Consider the following 17,753-nt stretch of genomic DNA (forward strand, 5'->3'; position numbering starts at 1 on the left):
AATGTATGACATTTCCTGCTTGACCGCTGAGTTTGATTATAAATTAAAATACACAATATTTTATACAAATTGTTTTGTAGAAGATTTATTTACAGATGCTCATTCACAGGTAAAATTGACTTATGAAAATAGTTTTCATGACAAATGTATCAGGCTCGGTAACTAAATATATGGATTGATCTTGTTTATAAATGAAATTAAATGTGAATGTAACTTACATATTTCTGTATTTGCTTACATCCGTATGTACACATATAATCAGCAAATGAGTTGATGTTTCCTATTCGTAACTTAATGGTAATAGCTTGGTAACAGAGTTGGGAGTATTAAAAAGATGTAAAGAGCCCCTTAAAATTTTGTTGCTGGGAATTTTAGTGTTCTACTGATGAAGGAAATAGACACTGGAAGGCGTTGTTTCTATTAGGTAACTTAGATATCATACTGAAGACTTCAAATACTTATTGTTGACACTCAAAAGACACACTTAGTGTAAGTAAGCATTTCCCCGCTTTTCCCAATGAAATAAGATCATTATTATAATTCCATTATAAATGCTGATGATCATATTTATAGAAATATAGAAGATAAGACTTGAAATGATATTCGCTACCAATTAATGAGTTTGAAGAAGAAATCAGGATGTGTTTTGCTATTTTACATTTATTCTTATTTAACTCCAAAGAATTCAGTGATGTTATGTACTATTATTTCCATTTCTCTGTGAAGACGTTGAAGCTTAAGTAACACGCATAATAAGGTCATACATTTAGCAAGTGGCTCAATTAAAGTTCAAACCTGGTTCTGCCTGGTTTCAAAGTCTGTGCTACTCCATGGTATTAGGCTACAACATGACTTAGGGTTTCTTCCTCTGCTCTATTGCTGTTCAGATGTACTCCTCTTTTGGCAGAGTGGGAGAAAATTTTTGCAATCTATGCATCTGACAAAGGCCCAATATCCAGAATCTACAAGGAACCTAAACAAATTTACAAGAAAAAAAAAAAAACATTAAAAAGTGGGCAAAGGACTTGATCAGACACATCTCAAAAGAAGACATTTATGTAGCCAACAAACATATGAAGAAAAGCTCAACATCACTGATCATTAGAAAGATGCAAAATGCCTTTTCTGTATGCCACCTTATATCCCCAGTATTTATTATTTCTAAGTCATAGTATCTTACAGTGTATATAAGTCTCATCCGTTCTTTTGATTTTCTCTTCCCTGCTTGCAATTGGGTACCTAGGAACAAAGTTGCAATCTTAGCCAGTTTTTTCTTTAGCCTTTGCTGATGTGTGAAAAGCCCTTTTTTCTACCCTGGATTTCTGTACTTAAGCTGGAACAGCTAAGTTTTTACCTTTTTTAAATATAAAGTTTCAGAGTCTTCTGCCAAGGATCTTTTGCTGTTTTCCTACTGTTAAATATTTCAAAGCCTTTTTTAAACATAGGGAATATAATCAAACATAGCAAGCAGCTGATGAACAATATCTAGATAGTCTTCATTATTGAAATGGAATAAATGGTATTTTTGTATTTTAGGCTAACAGACACCTTGTACCTTAGATAAGGCCAACCTTCTCATAAAATCCCTCAGTTACTTTTATTAATAATAACCAAATTAACTCTGGATTCCAGGGTGTACTCATGATGGAATGATTTCTCTGTCATGTTATCCTGAGGATCTAGTACTCTGAGATAACATAAGTGTATGACACTTTAGGCTTATGAAACACTTAGCTACTTAAATTATTTAATTTTTTTTCATGTGCAGATGGTATTGTACCCAAACACTACCTTTGTGTGTGTGTGTGTGTGTGCCTGTGTGTGTGTTTTTGAGACAGGGTCTTACTCTGCTCAGGCTGGAGTGCAGTGGCGTGATTATAGCTCACTACAGCCTTGACCTCCTGGGCTCCAGTGATCCTGCCAAAGTGTTGGGATTGCAGGCGTGAGCCACCTCACCCAGCCTTAAATTATTTTTTTTTCAAGGATGTTTAACCTGAGGGTTAGAGGCTCTTTGGCACGTGAGCTGCTGAAATGTGTGTGAAAGTGTTGTGCACGTGTATGTTTCTCTTTTTTTCTGGGAAGTGGATCTGTAGTGATTCTTAGATGAGTCTATGAGACAAGAAACTTTTATTTTTTTCATTTATTTAGCGAATGTTTGTTAAGCGTACTATGCCTTGGCCACTCTACAGGGTGCTGATTGGACCAGTCTGTCTACCTACCGTTGTAGATGTTAGAAGCTATATTCTTTTCACATGCCTAATATAACTCTTTGTGTATGTATACATGCCCAGGCATGTTCCTTCCTCAGAACATTAAATTCACCATTTTGGTCAACTCAAAGCAAGTACACCATGGGACACAGATCTGAAATAATGTCCAGATTTTTACTTACTGAATGAGGTGTGTTGAGTGTATAAGACTACATGATGAGATGGCAAGTAATTGCCTGAAGAAATGATGTAGTGATTTTGTGTGTCTTATATTTATTTACTTTTTGATCCAGAAATAAATTATATAGATACCACTATTTTGTTTGGATGGGGGAGAAAGGATGGGTGTGTATTCAGGAACTTATGTTACTTTTTTGCAACTAATACCCCTTCTCAGTAGTACAAAGATTTGATTTCTTTTTCTTTCTATTTCCTACAGACTTCATCTGCAGAGAGAAAGAGACGATTACCTGTGTGGTTTGCCAAAGGAAGTGATACCAGCAAGAAATTAATGGACAAAACGAAAAGGGGAGGTCTTTTTAGTTAAGCTGGCAATTACCAGAACAATTATGTTTCTTGCTGTATTATAAGAGGATAGCTATATTTTATTTCTGAAGAGTAAGGAGTAGTATTTTGGCTTAAAAATCATTCTAATTACAAAGTTCACTGTTTATTGAAGAACTGGCATCTTAAATCAGCCTTCCGCAATTCATGTAGTTTCTGGGTCTTCTGGGAGCCTACGTGAGTACATCACCTAACAGAATATTAAATTAGACTTCCTGTAAGATTGCTTTAAGAAACTGTTACTGTCCTGTTTTCTAATCTCTTTATTAAAACAGTGTATTTGGAAAATGTTATGTGCTCTGATTTGATATAGATAACAGATTAGTAGTTACATGGTAATTATGTGATATAAAATATTCATATATTATCAAAATTCTGTTTTGTAAATGTAAGAAAGCATAGTTATTTTACAAATTGTTTTTACTGTCTTTTGAAGAAGTTCTTAAATACGTTGTTAAATGGTATTAGTTGACCAGGGCAGTGAAAATGAAACCGCATTTTGGGTGCCATTAAATAGGGAAAAAACATGTAAAAAATGTAAAATGGAGACCAATTGCACTAGGCAAGTGTATATTTTGTATTTTATATACAATTTCTATTATTTTTCAAGTAATAAAACAATGTTTTTCATACTGAATATTATATATATATTTTTTAGCTTTCATTTACTTAATTATTTTAAGTACCTTTATTTTTCCAGGATGTCAGAATTTGATTCTAATCTCTCTTATGTAGCACATGTGACTTAATTTAAAACCTATACTGTGACACAGAGTTGGGTAAACGATGATTATTTAACTTTAAGCAGTTCACCATCCATTTCAAAGCCTTTGATTGGCTTTTTTGTAAATAAAAATAACTTGTTAAGAAACAAATATATCTGTCATAGAAGAACTAGAAAATCCAGGGAAGTGAGAAAAATGAAAATAAAAATCATTCATAGTTTTACTAGTAGCTAATCACAGTCAACCTCTTTTGTGTATCCCACCAGACTTTTTTATATTCATTTGTTTTTAGTTAAAATATAAAAGTCTCGTATATTCCCATTTTTCTGCATTGCATTACCAGAAGGTAGTGGCGCCTATTAAATATGTGATATGTTGTTGTCCAGCCATGGCTTCTGCATTTGCATGCTTTTGTGTGTGCATCTGCAATACCCTGTGAATATCCTGTGTGATGGAGTGGCAAGTACGCACAGACACGTCTGCTGCATGCCTAGGTACGAGGCTGTCTCCAGGAGAAGCACTTGTTTGATTATTTGAGTTGCCAATTGAATTTGCTGCTTTTTTTCATGGCTTGCCATTTTCACTGAAAAGAATGACTAATGAAAAACGATGATTGGTTATTAGATTTGGATGTTTGGCAGACATTTTCTCAAAATTGAACTAAGTTGGCCTCTTCACGGAAAACAACTGGTATTTGTTGTGCCAATGATAAAATTGGAGATTTCTAGCAAAATGTATAATTTTGGAAAAGTTGTGTTCCTCCACTGGAAGCTTGACAGCTTTCCTTAACATAAAGACTTCTCTTTCTCTTCGCTTTCACTACTACTACTACTAATTCTTCTTCTGATTCTTCTTCTTCTCCTTCTTCCTTCTTCCTTCCTTCCTCCTCCTCCTCCTTCTTCTTCCTCTTCCTCTTCTTCTTTCTCTCTTTCCTTCCTTCCCTTCCCTTCCCCTTCCTTCCTTCCTTCCTTCCTTCCTCCCTCCCTCCCTCCCTCCCTCCCTCCCTCCTTTCTTTTTCTTTCTCTTTCTTTCTTTCTTTCTCTCTCTCTCTCTCTTTCTTTCTTTTTCTTTCTCTTTTTCTTTCTTTCAAGCAGTCCTCCCGCCTCAGTCCCCCAAAATAGTGGGATTACAGGTGTGAGCCACCATGCACAGCCTTACATAAAGCCTTTTCTAATGAGATGGATAGTAATTAACAAATGTGAGTTTTTGATATTATATAAAGATTTTTTCTGTGTTTCGAAGATCCGTATAACTCAGTGAATCAGTATGTTCTGGATGACTAATATGTGATGTTAAGAAATCATGACTGAGGCCGGGCGCGGTGGCTCACGCCTGTAATCCCAGCACTTTGGGAGGCCGAGGCGGGCGGATCACGAGATCAGGAGATCGAGACCACCCTGGCCAACATGGTGAAACCCCGTCTCTACTAAAAATACAAAAATTAGCTGGGTGTGTTGGTGCGTGCCTATAATCCCAGCTACTCGGGAGGCTGAGGCAGGAGAATCGCTTGAACTCAGGAGGCGGAGATTGCAGTGAGCTGAGACTGCGCCACTGCACCCCAGCCTGGCGACAGAGCAAGACTCCGTCTCAAAAATAAAAAAAGAAATCATGACTGGGTAAAAGATCTGTTCAGAGTACAAGATGGACCAATGGATTTGATATATTTGAATATAACAGAGTATGAAAAAGTTTATTGATATAGTTTCAGATTACACACTGCAACTAATCTTTAAGAAACTATTACTTGTCCACTTTTTGGTAAAATTTCAGAGAACAATGTCCACCATTATCTGAACAGGCTATTAAAATACTCTTCTCTTTTCCAACTACGTGCCTGTGCAAAGTCAGATTTTTTTCATATACTTCAGCCAAAACAGCATATCAAAATGGATTGAATGCAGAAGTAGATCTGAGAATACAGCCACTTTTGTTAAGCCAGACAATGAGATTTGCAAAATGTAAACAATGCTGCTGTTCTCAGTTTTTAAAAATATGTTTTTTAAAAGTATTTATGTTAATGTGTACTTGGTTTACTACTGCTATTTTTAAATAAAACAAGAAACATTTTTAAATGTCTGTTTTAATTTCTAAAGTGGTAGTGATAGATATAACCCATATTAATAAAAGCTCTTTGGGGTCCTCAGTGATTTTTTTTTAAGAGTATGGAAGGGTTCTCAGACCTAAGAGATTGAGAAATGCTGATGTAATGTTTTATTATAAAGGTGTACCATGAATTATGTACCTTACTTCATATTGTTGGACATTAAAGTTGCTTTCAGTTTTTTTGTTTTAAACAGCACTGCTTTGACCTTTTTTAAAAAATGAGTCAGGGTCTTGCTGTGTTGCCCAGGTTGGAGTGCAGTGGCTATTCACAGACATGATCATAGCATGCTATAGCCTTGAATTCCTGGGCTCATGTGATACTTCTGCTTCAGCCTCCTGAGTAGCTGGGACTATAGGCGTGCACCACTATGCCCAGCTGCTTTGAACATTCTTGAAATGAAATATGGTATAGTCTCATACCATATCATAGCCAGAGGGGGAGAGAGAGAATTTTGTTGTTGTTGTTATGTTATCTGTAGTGGACTTTATGCCTTCCCAGCATAAATTCTCTCTTTCCCCATTTTTCGTGACTCTTGATTTTTGTTGGGGTTCGTTCCAAGGAGAATAATTTCCATCTGGATATTGGATTGGCACCTGTGACCTCTTCTGAGCTAGACCCTAGTAACAGCGTTTGGATCTGGGGTAGGTGTGTGGCCAACTGAGCTGCTGGTTCATGCCTTTCCTGAAATGAGCCCTACCTCTGAATATTTCAGAAACATGGGACATTAACTTCCCTTTACTTACGTTAAACCCCTTTGAATGAGGAGTTGTTTTTCACTTCCAGTTGTGTTCAGTTGTCACAGAAGCACAGCGATGTGATTGGTGGAAGGACCCGTCAACAGACCCAGAAGATGTAAAGTGTTTTTAATCTCAAAGGATGTGGAATCTCAGAGATAGTTACACCGAGTAGAGGATGAAGCGGCTCCTGGATGGAGGCAGAGGCTTCCTGGATCTTCAAGTTCTGTATGGGTTGTTGTATGAGGTTGGTGCAAAAGTGAGGCAGGAGAATAGGGTCTGGAGGCAAGGAAACTAAGGCCGATTCACACTGACTTCCTAGAACTAAATCAAAAGGAAAACCCCAATTTTCCAGACCTAAATAACAAAAGTACCAGATGGCTCCTCCCTTTCAACTGCCCCTCCCCCACACCTTTCTGCGTGGCACATGGAAAATTGAAAGTATCTCTGGTTGCTTCTGCGTAGGAATGTAACTTTGTAACCAATCAGACGGATCGCAGGCCAAGTCGCCTGCATAGAAATGTAACTTTGTAACTTCACTTTAGCCTCTGATTGGTTGCTTTCCACAACCAATCAGATGCTTGCATAGGGTGTACCTGTTGTGACTTCACAAAGTGGTGGAAGTGGTGGAAGTGGTGGAAGGGTGGAAGGGCTATTTAAATTTTTATTCATCCTCTGATTGGTTGTTTCACTTAAGCCTCTAATTGGTTCTTGAGTCCTGGAGCCTGTGAAGGGTACTTTATTTTCAGTAAATGCATGCTTTTTTTGCTTCATTCTTTCCTTGCTTTGTGCATTTTGTTCAGTTCTTAGTTCAAGACACCAAGAGCCTGGACACCCTCCACTGGTAACAAAAGTAACTGGTGTTTTTGCCATTAGAAGTAATGGCACAGAACAAGTACATGAGAGCGATTTCTTATGGAAAATTAAATGGCGCATAAGTCGTGTGCTCAGGTAAGGGAGCTGGGAACCGGTAGAGGAAGGTCTCCAACCCACACCCGTGGGATCTCTGAGTCTTTGAAAGTCCGTCCTCACCCTTTGTGAAGAATGGGAGCACGGCTGGACTCGTCACCGGGGGTTTTGGGGGGCTGAACTTGTCATTTGAGGGTGTAGGGAGGTTGGATGAATCGCAGGGGTGCAGGGAGGGGGCCCACTGGAGCTCCACCAGGACCCCAGCACCCTAGATCCAAACCTGGTCATGCTTCCCATGCTCAGAGGCAAATCTCCCTCCCCTTGGGGGGCGGAGTCAGACGAGACCCCCTCTCCATCCTTTTCCAGGTCCGGCGGGGGCGGGACTTTAAAGGTAAAAACAGCAATTACTTTTGCACCAACTTATCTTCTAAGTTTCGCTCCCTACCACCTGAGTGTGTTTGGAGGCTCTGGCTCATTGTACCTGCCTGATCACCAGGTGCAAGTAGCTGGGCCAGAAGGACCTCGGCACGTTACGGAATATTTACTACAGGAACAGGTGAGCTGAAGGCGAATTCCCCAGGTGTAGCCTGTGACCATAGATTCAGACAAAGCCCTGACTGTTGCCTGGAATTCAAAAAAGCTGTAGCCCTACCAGATAGAATAAGAAAAGAATATAGGATTCTTCCTATTCAAATAGGTTGCATATAATTAAGAGCATGAACGATCCAATGGAATGAACTCAAAGTAGTTTTTGAGTGTAATAGACTTGAAGTGTCTTATGGAAAAGAATTGCAAAACCACAGAAACAGTGAAGAAGGTTAGTTATAGCCTTGATGGGGTAGCTGACTTCAGCAGTCTCAGCTATCTGAAAAGTTATTTACCAGATTTTGGTTGGGAACATAATCCCTAAATCATTTGAGATAATGTACTTGTTTCCTTACTGGGTAAATGTGTTTAAACCTTGAGAAAATGTAGACATAAGTAGAATATAGAATAAATTAAACCTTTGGTAGTTATGTTTTAGGATTAAGGACTAATAAGTACATATTTGATATTTAAGCATTTGTAATGCTTGAGATAATTTATCCTACTCAAGTAACAGATTACTCTTGTGACTCCAATGTAAAATATATCATTGAAAAATTAGTATCTGCTTGTGATTTTTAAGTAGAAACCCTGCCATTTGAAAGGTATTTGCCTTTATTATTGGAGATATTTCATATGAATGTTTAACTTTGTTATTGCATAGAAGTATTTAAACAGATTTCACTTGCAAGAGAAAGATATCTAATAGGTTACTCTTAATCAGTACTAAATTACTACAATTACTATATTCTATTAATATCGATTCATTAAAACCCAGAGCTTTAATTATGTCTCAGAAAATTAATTAAACTTTAGCCTCATAATCAGCTTTATTTTCTAACTCAATGTTTAAAAATTGACAAGTATGTATTATACTTATTTATGTCTTCATTCAGTAAACATTTGCATTTGTAGCATGCAAGACAACATGCTAGACACACGAAAGATGGAATAAATGGAAGAAAATGCAACACAGATCTCATGCTTAAGAGGGACAGATTTACTCTGAAGATTCAATGAAAAAACATCCACAAACAACTTTTCTACAAGAAACAAAACATTTTAAAGAAAACATTTACTTCAGCCGGGCGCGGTGGCTTACGCCTGTAATCCCAGCACTTTGGGAGGGCGAGGCGGGTGCATCACGAGGTCAGAAGTTCGAAACCAGACTGGCCAGTATGGTGAAACTGTGTCTCTACTAAAAATACAAAAATTAGCCTGGCGTGGTGGTGTGTGCCTGTGATCCCAGCTACTCAGGAGGCTGAGGCAGGAGAATCGCTTGAACCTGGGAGGCAGAGGTTGCAGTGAGCTGAGATCAGGCCATTGTGCTCCAGCCTGGGCAACAGAGCGAGACTCCGACTCAAAAAAAAAAAAAAGAAAAAAGAAAAAAAGAAAACATTTACTTCACATAATAAGATATGAGAAAAAATGGACTCTCTGAATGAAAAAAAGAGGAGATCATGTGAAAGATTTGCGCTTTTTTTTTTTTTAAAGTTATGGACTGAAACACTCCTAATCATTAACATTTGTTATTTTAGGGGAGTGGAATTGGAAAGGTGGAAAGGGCTATTTACATTTTTATAATCTCCATGTCTTTTAAATCAATATATATTGCATTTATTCTTTTAGTTAAAATTTTAAGAACTCTATAAAAAATAGAGACAGGGACTCCCTTTGTTACCCAGGCTGGTCTCAAACTCCTGGGATTAAGTGATCCTCCCACCTCAATTAGAAGGGTGGAAGGGCCAGCTGTTTAAGTTTCTATAATCTCTGTTAAATCAAATGTATATTGCATTTATTATTTTAAATTTTAAAAACTTTTTTAAAAATAGAGATGGGATCTTCCTATGTTGTCCAGGCTGGTTGTGAGCTCCTAGGATCAAGTGATTCTCCCGCCTTGACCTTTCAAAGAGCTGGGATTACAGGCATGAGCCACCATGCCCAGCCTATTTATTTGTTTATTTATTTTTAGAGGCAGGGTCTCACTCTCACTAGACTGAAGTGCAGTGGTGTGATCATAGCTCACTGCAGTCTCAAACTCCTGGACTCAAGCAATCAACTAGCCTCAGCCTCTGAGTACTGAGATGACAGGCATGTGCCTTCATACCCAGCTAATATTTTTGTAGAGATGGGGTCTTCCTGTGTTGCCCGGAAGAGTCTCAAACTCTTGGCCTCAGCCTCCCAAAGCACTGGGATTGCAGGCATGAGCCACAACACATGGCCCTGCTTTTAAAAAATATATAGTGGGCCAGGCTTTCTGGGATGATGGGCAACCATTACATTTGCTTTCTCTCCATTCTGAATGTCAGCCTCCATACACCTCTCTTGAGCCATCTCTTGATGCCCAGGACTGGCAGGCAAGCAGGATGTTAGGGTGCTGGCTGGAGGGCTGGAAAGCCCCAGGGCAAGGATATGAACGTGAAGGATTTTAAGGAGATTCTTGGACCTCAAGGGAACTTTTGGTCCTGGTTTCCTAGAGTATGTTAGATCTTCTTGGCCCCCAAAGAATCAAGGAAAAGCTGAATAGGTGGACCGAATCCTTTCCAGCACTGAGGCTGGGAGAACTCTATGACACCAGTGGGTGCTCATCCTGGTGCTGCCATGGACCTGACTACCTACGTCCGCTAAACTCTCCAGCAGCTGAGCCTTCAAGAGAAGACGTCCTCCACCTTTTCCATGAGATGAAGAATCCTTGGGGCCAGGGGATGTGCTCACTAGCTCACACCTGTCTCCATCCTCTAGACCATGCTTGCAGTACACAGGACCCCAGAATGCCTGGCCCAAACACTCGTGAGCCTCCAGGGGCTGCAGGGGCTTCTGGCCTTGTTTCCCCATCTGATGAGTTCGTTTCTTGGTCTGAAAGATTGTGACAGTTACTACGAGACTGAATGAAGGGGGATGAATGCAGAAATGAAAACTTAAGACAAAAGTAACTTTTAATGAGAGGGGCCGAGGGAAGAAGAAGAGGGCTCCCTGCTTCTAATGAGCAAAGGCAGCCACCCTGAGCTTCTACAGCCCTTCGTATTTATTGAGTAGAAAGAGCAGGGAGGAGGAGGTAATGATTGGTCAGCTGCTGGATTGATCACAGGTTCATATTATTGCTAACAGGCTTCAGATGTGCCTGATCACAAGAAACACTTGCGCCTGGGCATGACTGCCCTCAGCATTCCTTCTGGGCGGCAGATGCAGTTTGTCAGTTTGCTAACAACCTGCTTTCATGAGAACAGTTTGCTGCTTACTTACACAGCCACCAGTGATTTACTGAGTTGATCACGACCCTCACTCTTTCGGCCTCCAACAAAAGACGATCAAAGAATGGTTGTTTGCAGAGGTTATGGACAAGACTTGATGTCCAGGCCGAGTGTCCGTATGCACAGGAGCCTCTTGGTGGTGCAGAGTGAAGCCAGAGGAGGAGGAGTGGGTTGTGTCCATGGGCTGATTCTCCCTGCACCAACAGGACAGAATCCTAAGGAATCCGAGCATTTGAAATTCAAATCTGGTCTTACAGGTTGTTATGTATTTGTCTAGGTAGGAGGCTAGAATGTATTGAAATGGGGTTAGCCTGACATATTTATATATTTCATATTTAGGCTTCCATTTGTTCCTTTGTCTTGGGTCCCAAAAATATATTAGAGGTGGGCCTGTCTGTTCTCTTGGACACGAGGACCTCAACGAGTTTCCACTGTTCTCTGAATGTTTCCTTCCTGGTTTTCTGTGTATACAATAATTCCTAGTTTTCTGTTATTTACAATTTTACTTCCACTTTTTAAAGACAAAAATGTATGTTTTTTTAGTCAATATTGATATAGTGGACCAATATATTTTACCGTTATTTTTGCTTACTGTTTTTGTTTTTTTGCCTTCCTCATCTTCTCACTAAGTTTGTCTGACTACAGCCACACACCATTCATTCAATACCAACTCTTTTTTATTTTTATTTTTTGGAGAGAGGGTCTCACTCTGTCACCCAGGCTGGAGTGCAGTGGCATGATCTTGGTTCACTGCAGTCTCAAACTCTTGGACTCAAATGTTCTTCCTGCCTCAGCCTCCTGAGTAGCTGGGACCACAGGTGCACACGACCATGCCTGGCTAATTAAAAACAAAACAATTTTTTTTTTTTTAGAGACGGGGTCTCACTATGTTGCCTAGGCTGGTTTCAAACTCCTGGGGTCAAGTGATCCAATACCAACTCAACAGGTGGTGAGACCCAGTGGTCTAGACAAACAGCCACATAGCAATATGTTTTTCTCCATGATTCATATCCATGTTCGTTTGTTACAAAATAACAGGCATGAACATTTTCTTCAGAGAGGGAGATCCCCACTTATCCATTAATGACTCATTTGGTGTCCATTCCAAACTATTAAACTGCAAAAGCAGACATGAGAAAAGAAACTTAAGTCAATGTTTTTATCACATGTTGGTGCCAGCGTCCCATAGTGGTGCTAAATTTATGAAATTGCAACAAAACAAAAACCCAAACAACCCAACAACGAAAAGCTATTTAGTGAACACCGTGACTAACAAGCTTATTAGAACTGCTTATCAGAGCTATGTGTGGATTTTGTAGGGGGAAAGATTTTCTTCCCTCGTAGACATTTTGCAAAATAAAAGTAAAATATTACCTTTATGTACGTGGTAGATAGAATTCCACAAGCTTCAAATTCAACGACTCAAAAATGTTGCTTTTACTTTCCATATCTCAGAAGTCACTTTTATTTTATTTATTTTTTAGAGATAGGGTCTCGCTCTGTTGCCCAAGCTGGAGTTGCAGTGGCACAATCATAGCTCACTGCAGCCTTGAACTCCTGGGCTCAAGCAGTCCTCTTATCTCAGCATCCTGAGTAGCTGGGACTACAGGCGCATACCACCACTCCTAGCTGATTTTTAAATTCTGTGTAGACATAGGATCTTGCTGTACTGCCCAGGCTAGTCTTGAACTCTTGGCCTCAAGTGATCCTCCCACCTTGGCCTCCTAAAGTGCCGGGATTGCAGGTGTGAGCCACCATACCTGCCCAGAAATCTCTTATTTTAAACCCCAATTCCTCCTGATAGTAAAAAAAAAAAAAAAAAAAAAAAAAAAAAAATGTCATCTTGGTGTATTTTGGGTAGGCTGGATCACTTCAAGTTTCCCCCTCCTCCTGAAGCTCCGACAGAGGCCTGCAAGCCCTGCTGGGATCTGTCCTCAGTCCCTCTCGGGCTCATCTTCTACCATCTTGCTGTCACTCCATCTCCCTGTCCTTCCCTTTGCTTCACCCATACCAGACCCTGTACTGTTTCTGGAAGACACCAGGCATGCTGTGTCTTAGGGGAGAATGTGATTTCACCAACTAGTGCTGCCCAAGTAACATGCATTTGCCCTGACTGCTCTTTTCACCTGCTGTGCTGTTCCCCCAGATAACCACAGGCAAACCCCGCCAACTCCTAGTTTATTGAACTATACCATGAGTAACTTACTTAAAATCTCCATACCTTGTCCCATTCTCTCTTACCTGTTCCAATACTTATTTATGATGTTGATAGATGATCTCCCTCTACTAGACTGGAAGCTCCTTGACAGCGGGGATTCTTGTCTGTTTTGTTCACTGCTGTGTCTTTAGCACCTGGAGAAATGCCTGGCACACAGCAGGAACTCAGTAAATAACTGCTGAATAAATAAACATGAATAAATCAATGAATGGGGATGCCTAAGTGCTTCGGGATTCTGGTCAAAGCTTTGGCAACTAGGGACGCACAGGGACCCTCATCATCTCTGCCTCCTAGGCAGGTATCCACTGAGATCCGCAATCCCATCTGGTCCTTGGACCAGTTACCCTTCATGTTGGCCTCTGTTAAGATGTCCAGGTTGTATCTGGTCTCCCACACAGCATCCCTTTATTACTACCCCTGGACCTCAGCAGTCAGCCACACATTCAGTAAAGGCCACAGCTCTGCCATCTCCTAGCTAGGGGACTTTGGACAAATTACTTAGACACTCTGAGCCTCGTTTGTAACATGCAGAGACGTTGCTGGGATTAGACACAATGCCTGTAGACCATTTAACAATTGCTGTCACACATGGTTGGTATTCACTCAGCTGTCGCTATGGAATTAGCAGACAGAAAAGGCACAGCGTCAGTGGCTGGGTGTCCAGAGAGAAGCAGCCTGTCTCTCTAGATAATACTTGGCAAAATCACAGCAGTCCGGTGTGTGGCCCTTTACTGACCTTGATTAAAAATCGGGTGTCAGCACCCCAAGTGGATCCTTCTTACAGGTGCAGATTCAGACTCATTATCCAAGTTGACAGAGACAGAAGTAAATATTCAACAAATATTTATTGAGCACTTACTATGTGCCAGGCACTGTTGTTGTAGGTGCTGGAATACAGCAATGAACAAAAAAAGTGAAACATTCTTCCTTAGATGGTGGTAAAGCGATAGGAGGACACAGCAGGGAAGGGGTTTGGACTATTTCAATTTGGGACAGGAAACGCCTTGCTGAGAGAGTGAGGGTTGAGCTCTGGAATTAGCCTGGGTTTGACCACATGTAACTGCAACTTTGAGCAAGTCGATCCACTGTAAGTCTCTTTTATTAACACCATTGTGTGTAAGAGGAAATAGAAACTTAGCTAAAGTCGTTGGAGAATTGAATGTGGTGCAGCATTTAGCACAGCGCAGGAATAATAAAAGCCAGCTGTTCTCATCCTTTGCCCATAGAAAAGCTATCCGGGAAGCCACGTTATAGTCTGAAGGCTGCCTACTGGTTTGGTCAAAGAAAGGGCAGTTAGATAATTTTCATGTTTAATTAAGGGCACGGGGCTAGATTTCTTGAGGTGCCAGAGTAATGCTTGCTTTTCATGAACAACGGATACAAGATATGGGCATTGCAGAACCTTTAAAGAACATAACTGGAATAATCAAATAACCGAAAGTTCATGAAATATTCTGGCTCATGAATTAGTTATCTGGTAAATCACAGTCTGAAAGTCACAGAATAAAAATTACTTTAAATTTCCTCCAAAGCTTACTGAGTAAGGGGAGGGACATTTAAGATGCGGAGGAAGCGCTGAACTTGCAAGAGGAACAAGGAGGACGGTGGCTGCTGGAACTCTGTAACCCTTAGAGAAGATGTGGGTGGGATTTGGCAAGCCCCCTAGACTCTCTTTGTTTTGGGTCTTAATAGGGACAGTTTATTATTTTTAATGACTCGCGTGAATTGTATACTGTTTTAAGCATCCACCAAAAGCCTTTCGGCTTTTTCCCTAATTAGACTCATTCTCACACAGAGAGGAACTGAACTTTTTACCTCTTTGGTTCAAGAGCACCATCTACTGGTCAGATTTGGTAATTTCGGGTTTATGGCACTGGAAAATCAAAGAGCATTTTGATTTGGTTGTGTTTGGTTTTGGTCCATTTATCAATACAGGTTTTTTGGCGGACAAAATAATGTGAAAATCAGGGGAATCAGGTGAGGGCATTGGATGTCTCTGTCACAGACGATGGGGAGCTCAGCCGATTTTAAGCTTCTAACCTCAGCTGGTCTGGAGAAGAGCAAACCTGACAACCAGCACGAAGAAAGTAGCTCTGCCTCTGTGGTGTGCTGGACATTCTGGTTACATAGATGGGAAGACGAGGCCCTTTCCGACAAATATGCAAATCCCCCACATCTCCAAATTTGGTAGCTCTGGGGCTTAGGGCAGCTTCTGGAAACAGAACTCAGACCTAGCCTGCTGGAGCAGGAAGGGCTTCTGAGAAGATGATATCTGGACCATCTAAGGAGTGTAAATAAGAAATAGCCGCCAGGCATGGTGGCTCACGGCTGTAATCCCAGCACTTTGGGAGGCTGAGGCGGGCAAGTCGCTTGACAAAGTCAGGAGTTTGAGTCCAGTCGGGGCAACATGATGAAACCCCATCTCTACAAAAAATACAAAAATTAGCTGGGTATGGTGGTGCATGCCTGTAGTCCCAGCTACTCTGGAGGCTGAGGTGGGAGGATCACTTGAGCCTGAGAGGTTGAGGCTGCAGTGAGTCGTGATGGCTGCACTCCAGCCCGGGCGACAGAGTGAGACCCTATCTTAAAAAAGAAAGAAAAAAGGAAGAGGTCAGGAGTTTGAGACCAGCATGGCCAACATGATGAAACCCCATCTCTACTAAAAATAAAAAAAAAATCAGCTGGGCGTGGTGGCATGCGCCTGTAATCCCAGCTACTGGGGAGGTTGAAACTGGAGAATTCCTTGAACCCGGGAGGCGGACGTTGCAGTGAGCCGAGACCACACCACTGCACTCCAGCCTGGGCGATAGAGCGAGACTCCACCTCAAAAAAAAGAAAAAAGAAAAAGAAAAGAAATAGCCAGATGGAGAACAGGGGAAAGGCCAGAAGAGCAGGGGCGTAAAAGGCGTGGAATGGCATGCGGGGGAGTAACAAGGTTTTTTTTTTTTTTTTTTAAACGGAGTCTCACTCTGTTGCCCAGTTTGGAGTACAGTGGCGCGATCTTGGCTCGCTGCAACCTCTACCTCCCGGGTTCTAGCGATTCTCCTGCCTCAGCCTCCTGAGTAGCTGGGACTACAGGCGTGTGCCACCACACCTGGCTAATTTCTGTATTTTTAGTAGAGATGGGGTTTCATCATGTTGGCCAGGCTGGTCTCGAACTCCTGACCTCAAATGATCTGCCCGCCTCAGCCTCCGAAAGTGCTAGGATTACAGGCGTGAGCCACCGTGCCCAGCTAGTAACAAGGTATTGACTGAACCAGAGTGGGGTGTGTCAAGATCGGGAATCAGCAAGCAGCACAGGGGGTGTCCTGGGTGGGGATCTGGGGCTCAGGCCTTCCTGCTATCCTGCTACCCACCTGCACACTTGTTCGTTTTCTTTCCACTCATTTTTCTCCCTTGCCCAGACTTCAGGTCTACCAGCTACACTTCTTGATTTCTTTGGCCTTCAAAATTCGGTTCAATAAGGAAAGTTTTAGCATTATTTTCATATAGGTCCTTGACATTTCTTGCTAAGGTTATCATTAGATTTTTTTTTAATGGTGTAATAGTTCAGACCTTCACTCAAATGTCATCTCTCTAGAGAAGCCTTCCTTAACTACCATACCAAAAACGGTTCCAGCGCCGCTACCGTCTATCCCAGCCTATCCTCTCACGTCCTGTGGTCCTGAGGTTCTGTGATAATGTTCTATAATTCTGTGCTGTCCAATATGGTAGCCACGAGCCACATGTATTTATAGCGTCGTTATTGAGCACTATATAATGTGGCTAGTGCAATTGACACACTACAATTTTAGTTGAATGCAATTTAAATTAATTTACATTGAAATAGCCACATGTTTGGCTCACACCTGTAATCCCAGCACTTTGGGAGGCTGAGGCGGGTGGATCACCTGAGGTCAAGAGTTCGGGACCAGCCTGGCCAACATGGTGAAACCCCATCTCTACTAAAAATACAAAAATTAGCCGGGTGTGGTGGCACGCGCCTGTAATCCCAGCTACTCGGGAGGCTGAGGCAGGAGAATCACTTGAACCTGGAGGGTGGAGGTTGCAGTGAGCCGAGATTGCACCACTTCACTCCAACCTGGGCAAAAGAGTGACACTCTGTCCAAAAAAAAGAGAAATAGCCATATGTGGCTGGTGGCTATTGTATTGGACAGCACAGCTCTGTTTCTCCCACTAGAATGTAATTTGATGAGGGTGGGGACTTGGACTTATTCACAGCTGAATACCTAGAATGGAACATAACTGCTATGTTTTGAATGTTTGTGTCCCTTCCAAAATGTATGTTGAAACTTAATCCCCTATATAAGAGTTGAAGAACCTTTTAGAAGGTAATTAGGCCATGAGGGCAGAGTCCTCATGGATGGGATTAGGGTCTTATAACAGGACTTGAGTCCTCTATAAGGAACGGAGAGTTCACCTTTCCTTCCCTTCTGCCATGTGAGGACACAGC

At 41.3% G+C, this 17,753-nt stretch overlaps 1 protein-coding gene and 1 long non-coding RNA gene across 5 annotated transcripts in view, besides 1 other annotated feature; both read left to right on the forward strand.

The window, feature by feature from the left end:
- The window catches only part of WRN (WRN RecQ like helicase), a 142,329-nt gene extending 136,536 nt beyond the window's left edge, over positions 1-5,793 (forward strand). For all 3 annotated transcript variants that reach the window (NM_000553.6, XM_011544639.4, XM_011544640.2), the window contains one exon: positions 2,650-5,793. In NM_000553.6, coding sequence (NP_000544.2) covers positions 2,650-2,757 — 108 coding nt within the window. In that variant the 3' untranslated portion in view covers positions 2,758-5,793. The remainder of the gene's footprint in view (positions 1-2,649) is intronic.
- Positions 1,704-2,903: an enhancer, noted in NCBI's record as "MED14-independent group 3 enhancer chr8:31029565-31030764 (GRCh37/hg19 assembly coordinates)". NCBI's record gives its function as "activates an origin of replication core promoter dependent on BRD2, BRD4, P300/CBP and CDK7 cofactors, and independent of MED14, by STARR-seq in HCT116 cells {active_cell/tissue: HCT116}" and the evidence as "EXISTENCE:reporter gene assay evidence [ECO:0000049][PMID:35650434]".
- Positions 5,794-6,729: 936 nt separating the features above from the next.
- LOC105379358 (uncharacterized) lies at positions 6,730-13,505 on the forward strand. Of its 2 annotated transcripts, none has more exons than XR_007060883.1 (2): positions 6,730-7,288; positions 7,613-13,505. It is a non-coding gene; the product is annotated as an uncharacterized LOC105379358 (long non-coding RNA). The 2 variants fall into 2 exon arrangements; XR_007060884.1 differs by having other exon boundaries at positions 7,743-13,505.
- The last annotated feature ends 4,248 nt before the right edge of the window (positions 13,506-17,753 follow it).

The sequence above is a fragment of the Homo sapiens genome, chromosome 8, assembly GCF_000001405.40.
Source record: "Homo sapiens chromosome 8, GRCh38.p14 Primary Assembly".
In the NCBI taxonomy this organism is placed as follows: domain Eukaryota; kingdom Metazoa; phylum Chordata; class Mammalia; order Primates; family Hominidae; genus Homo; species Homo sapiens.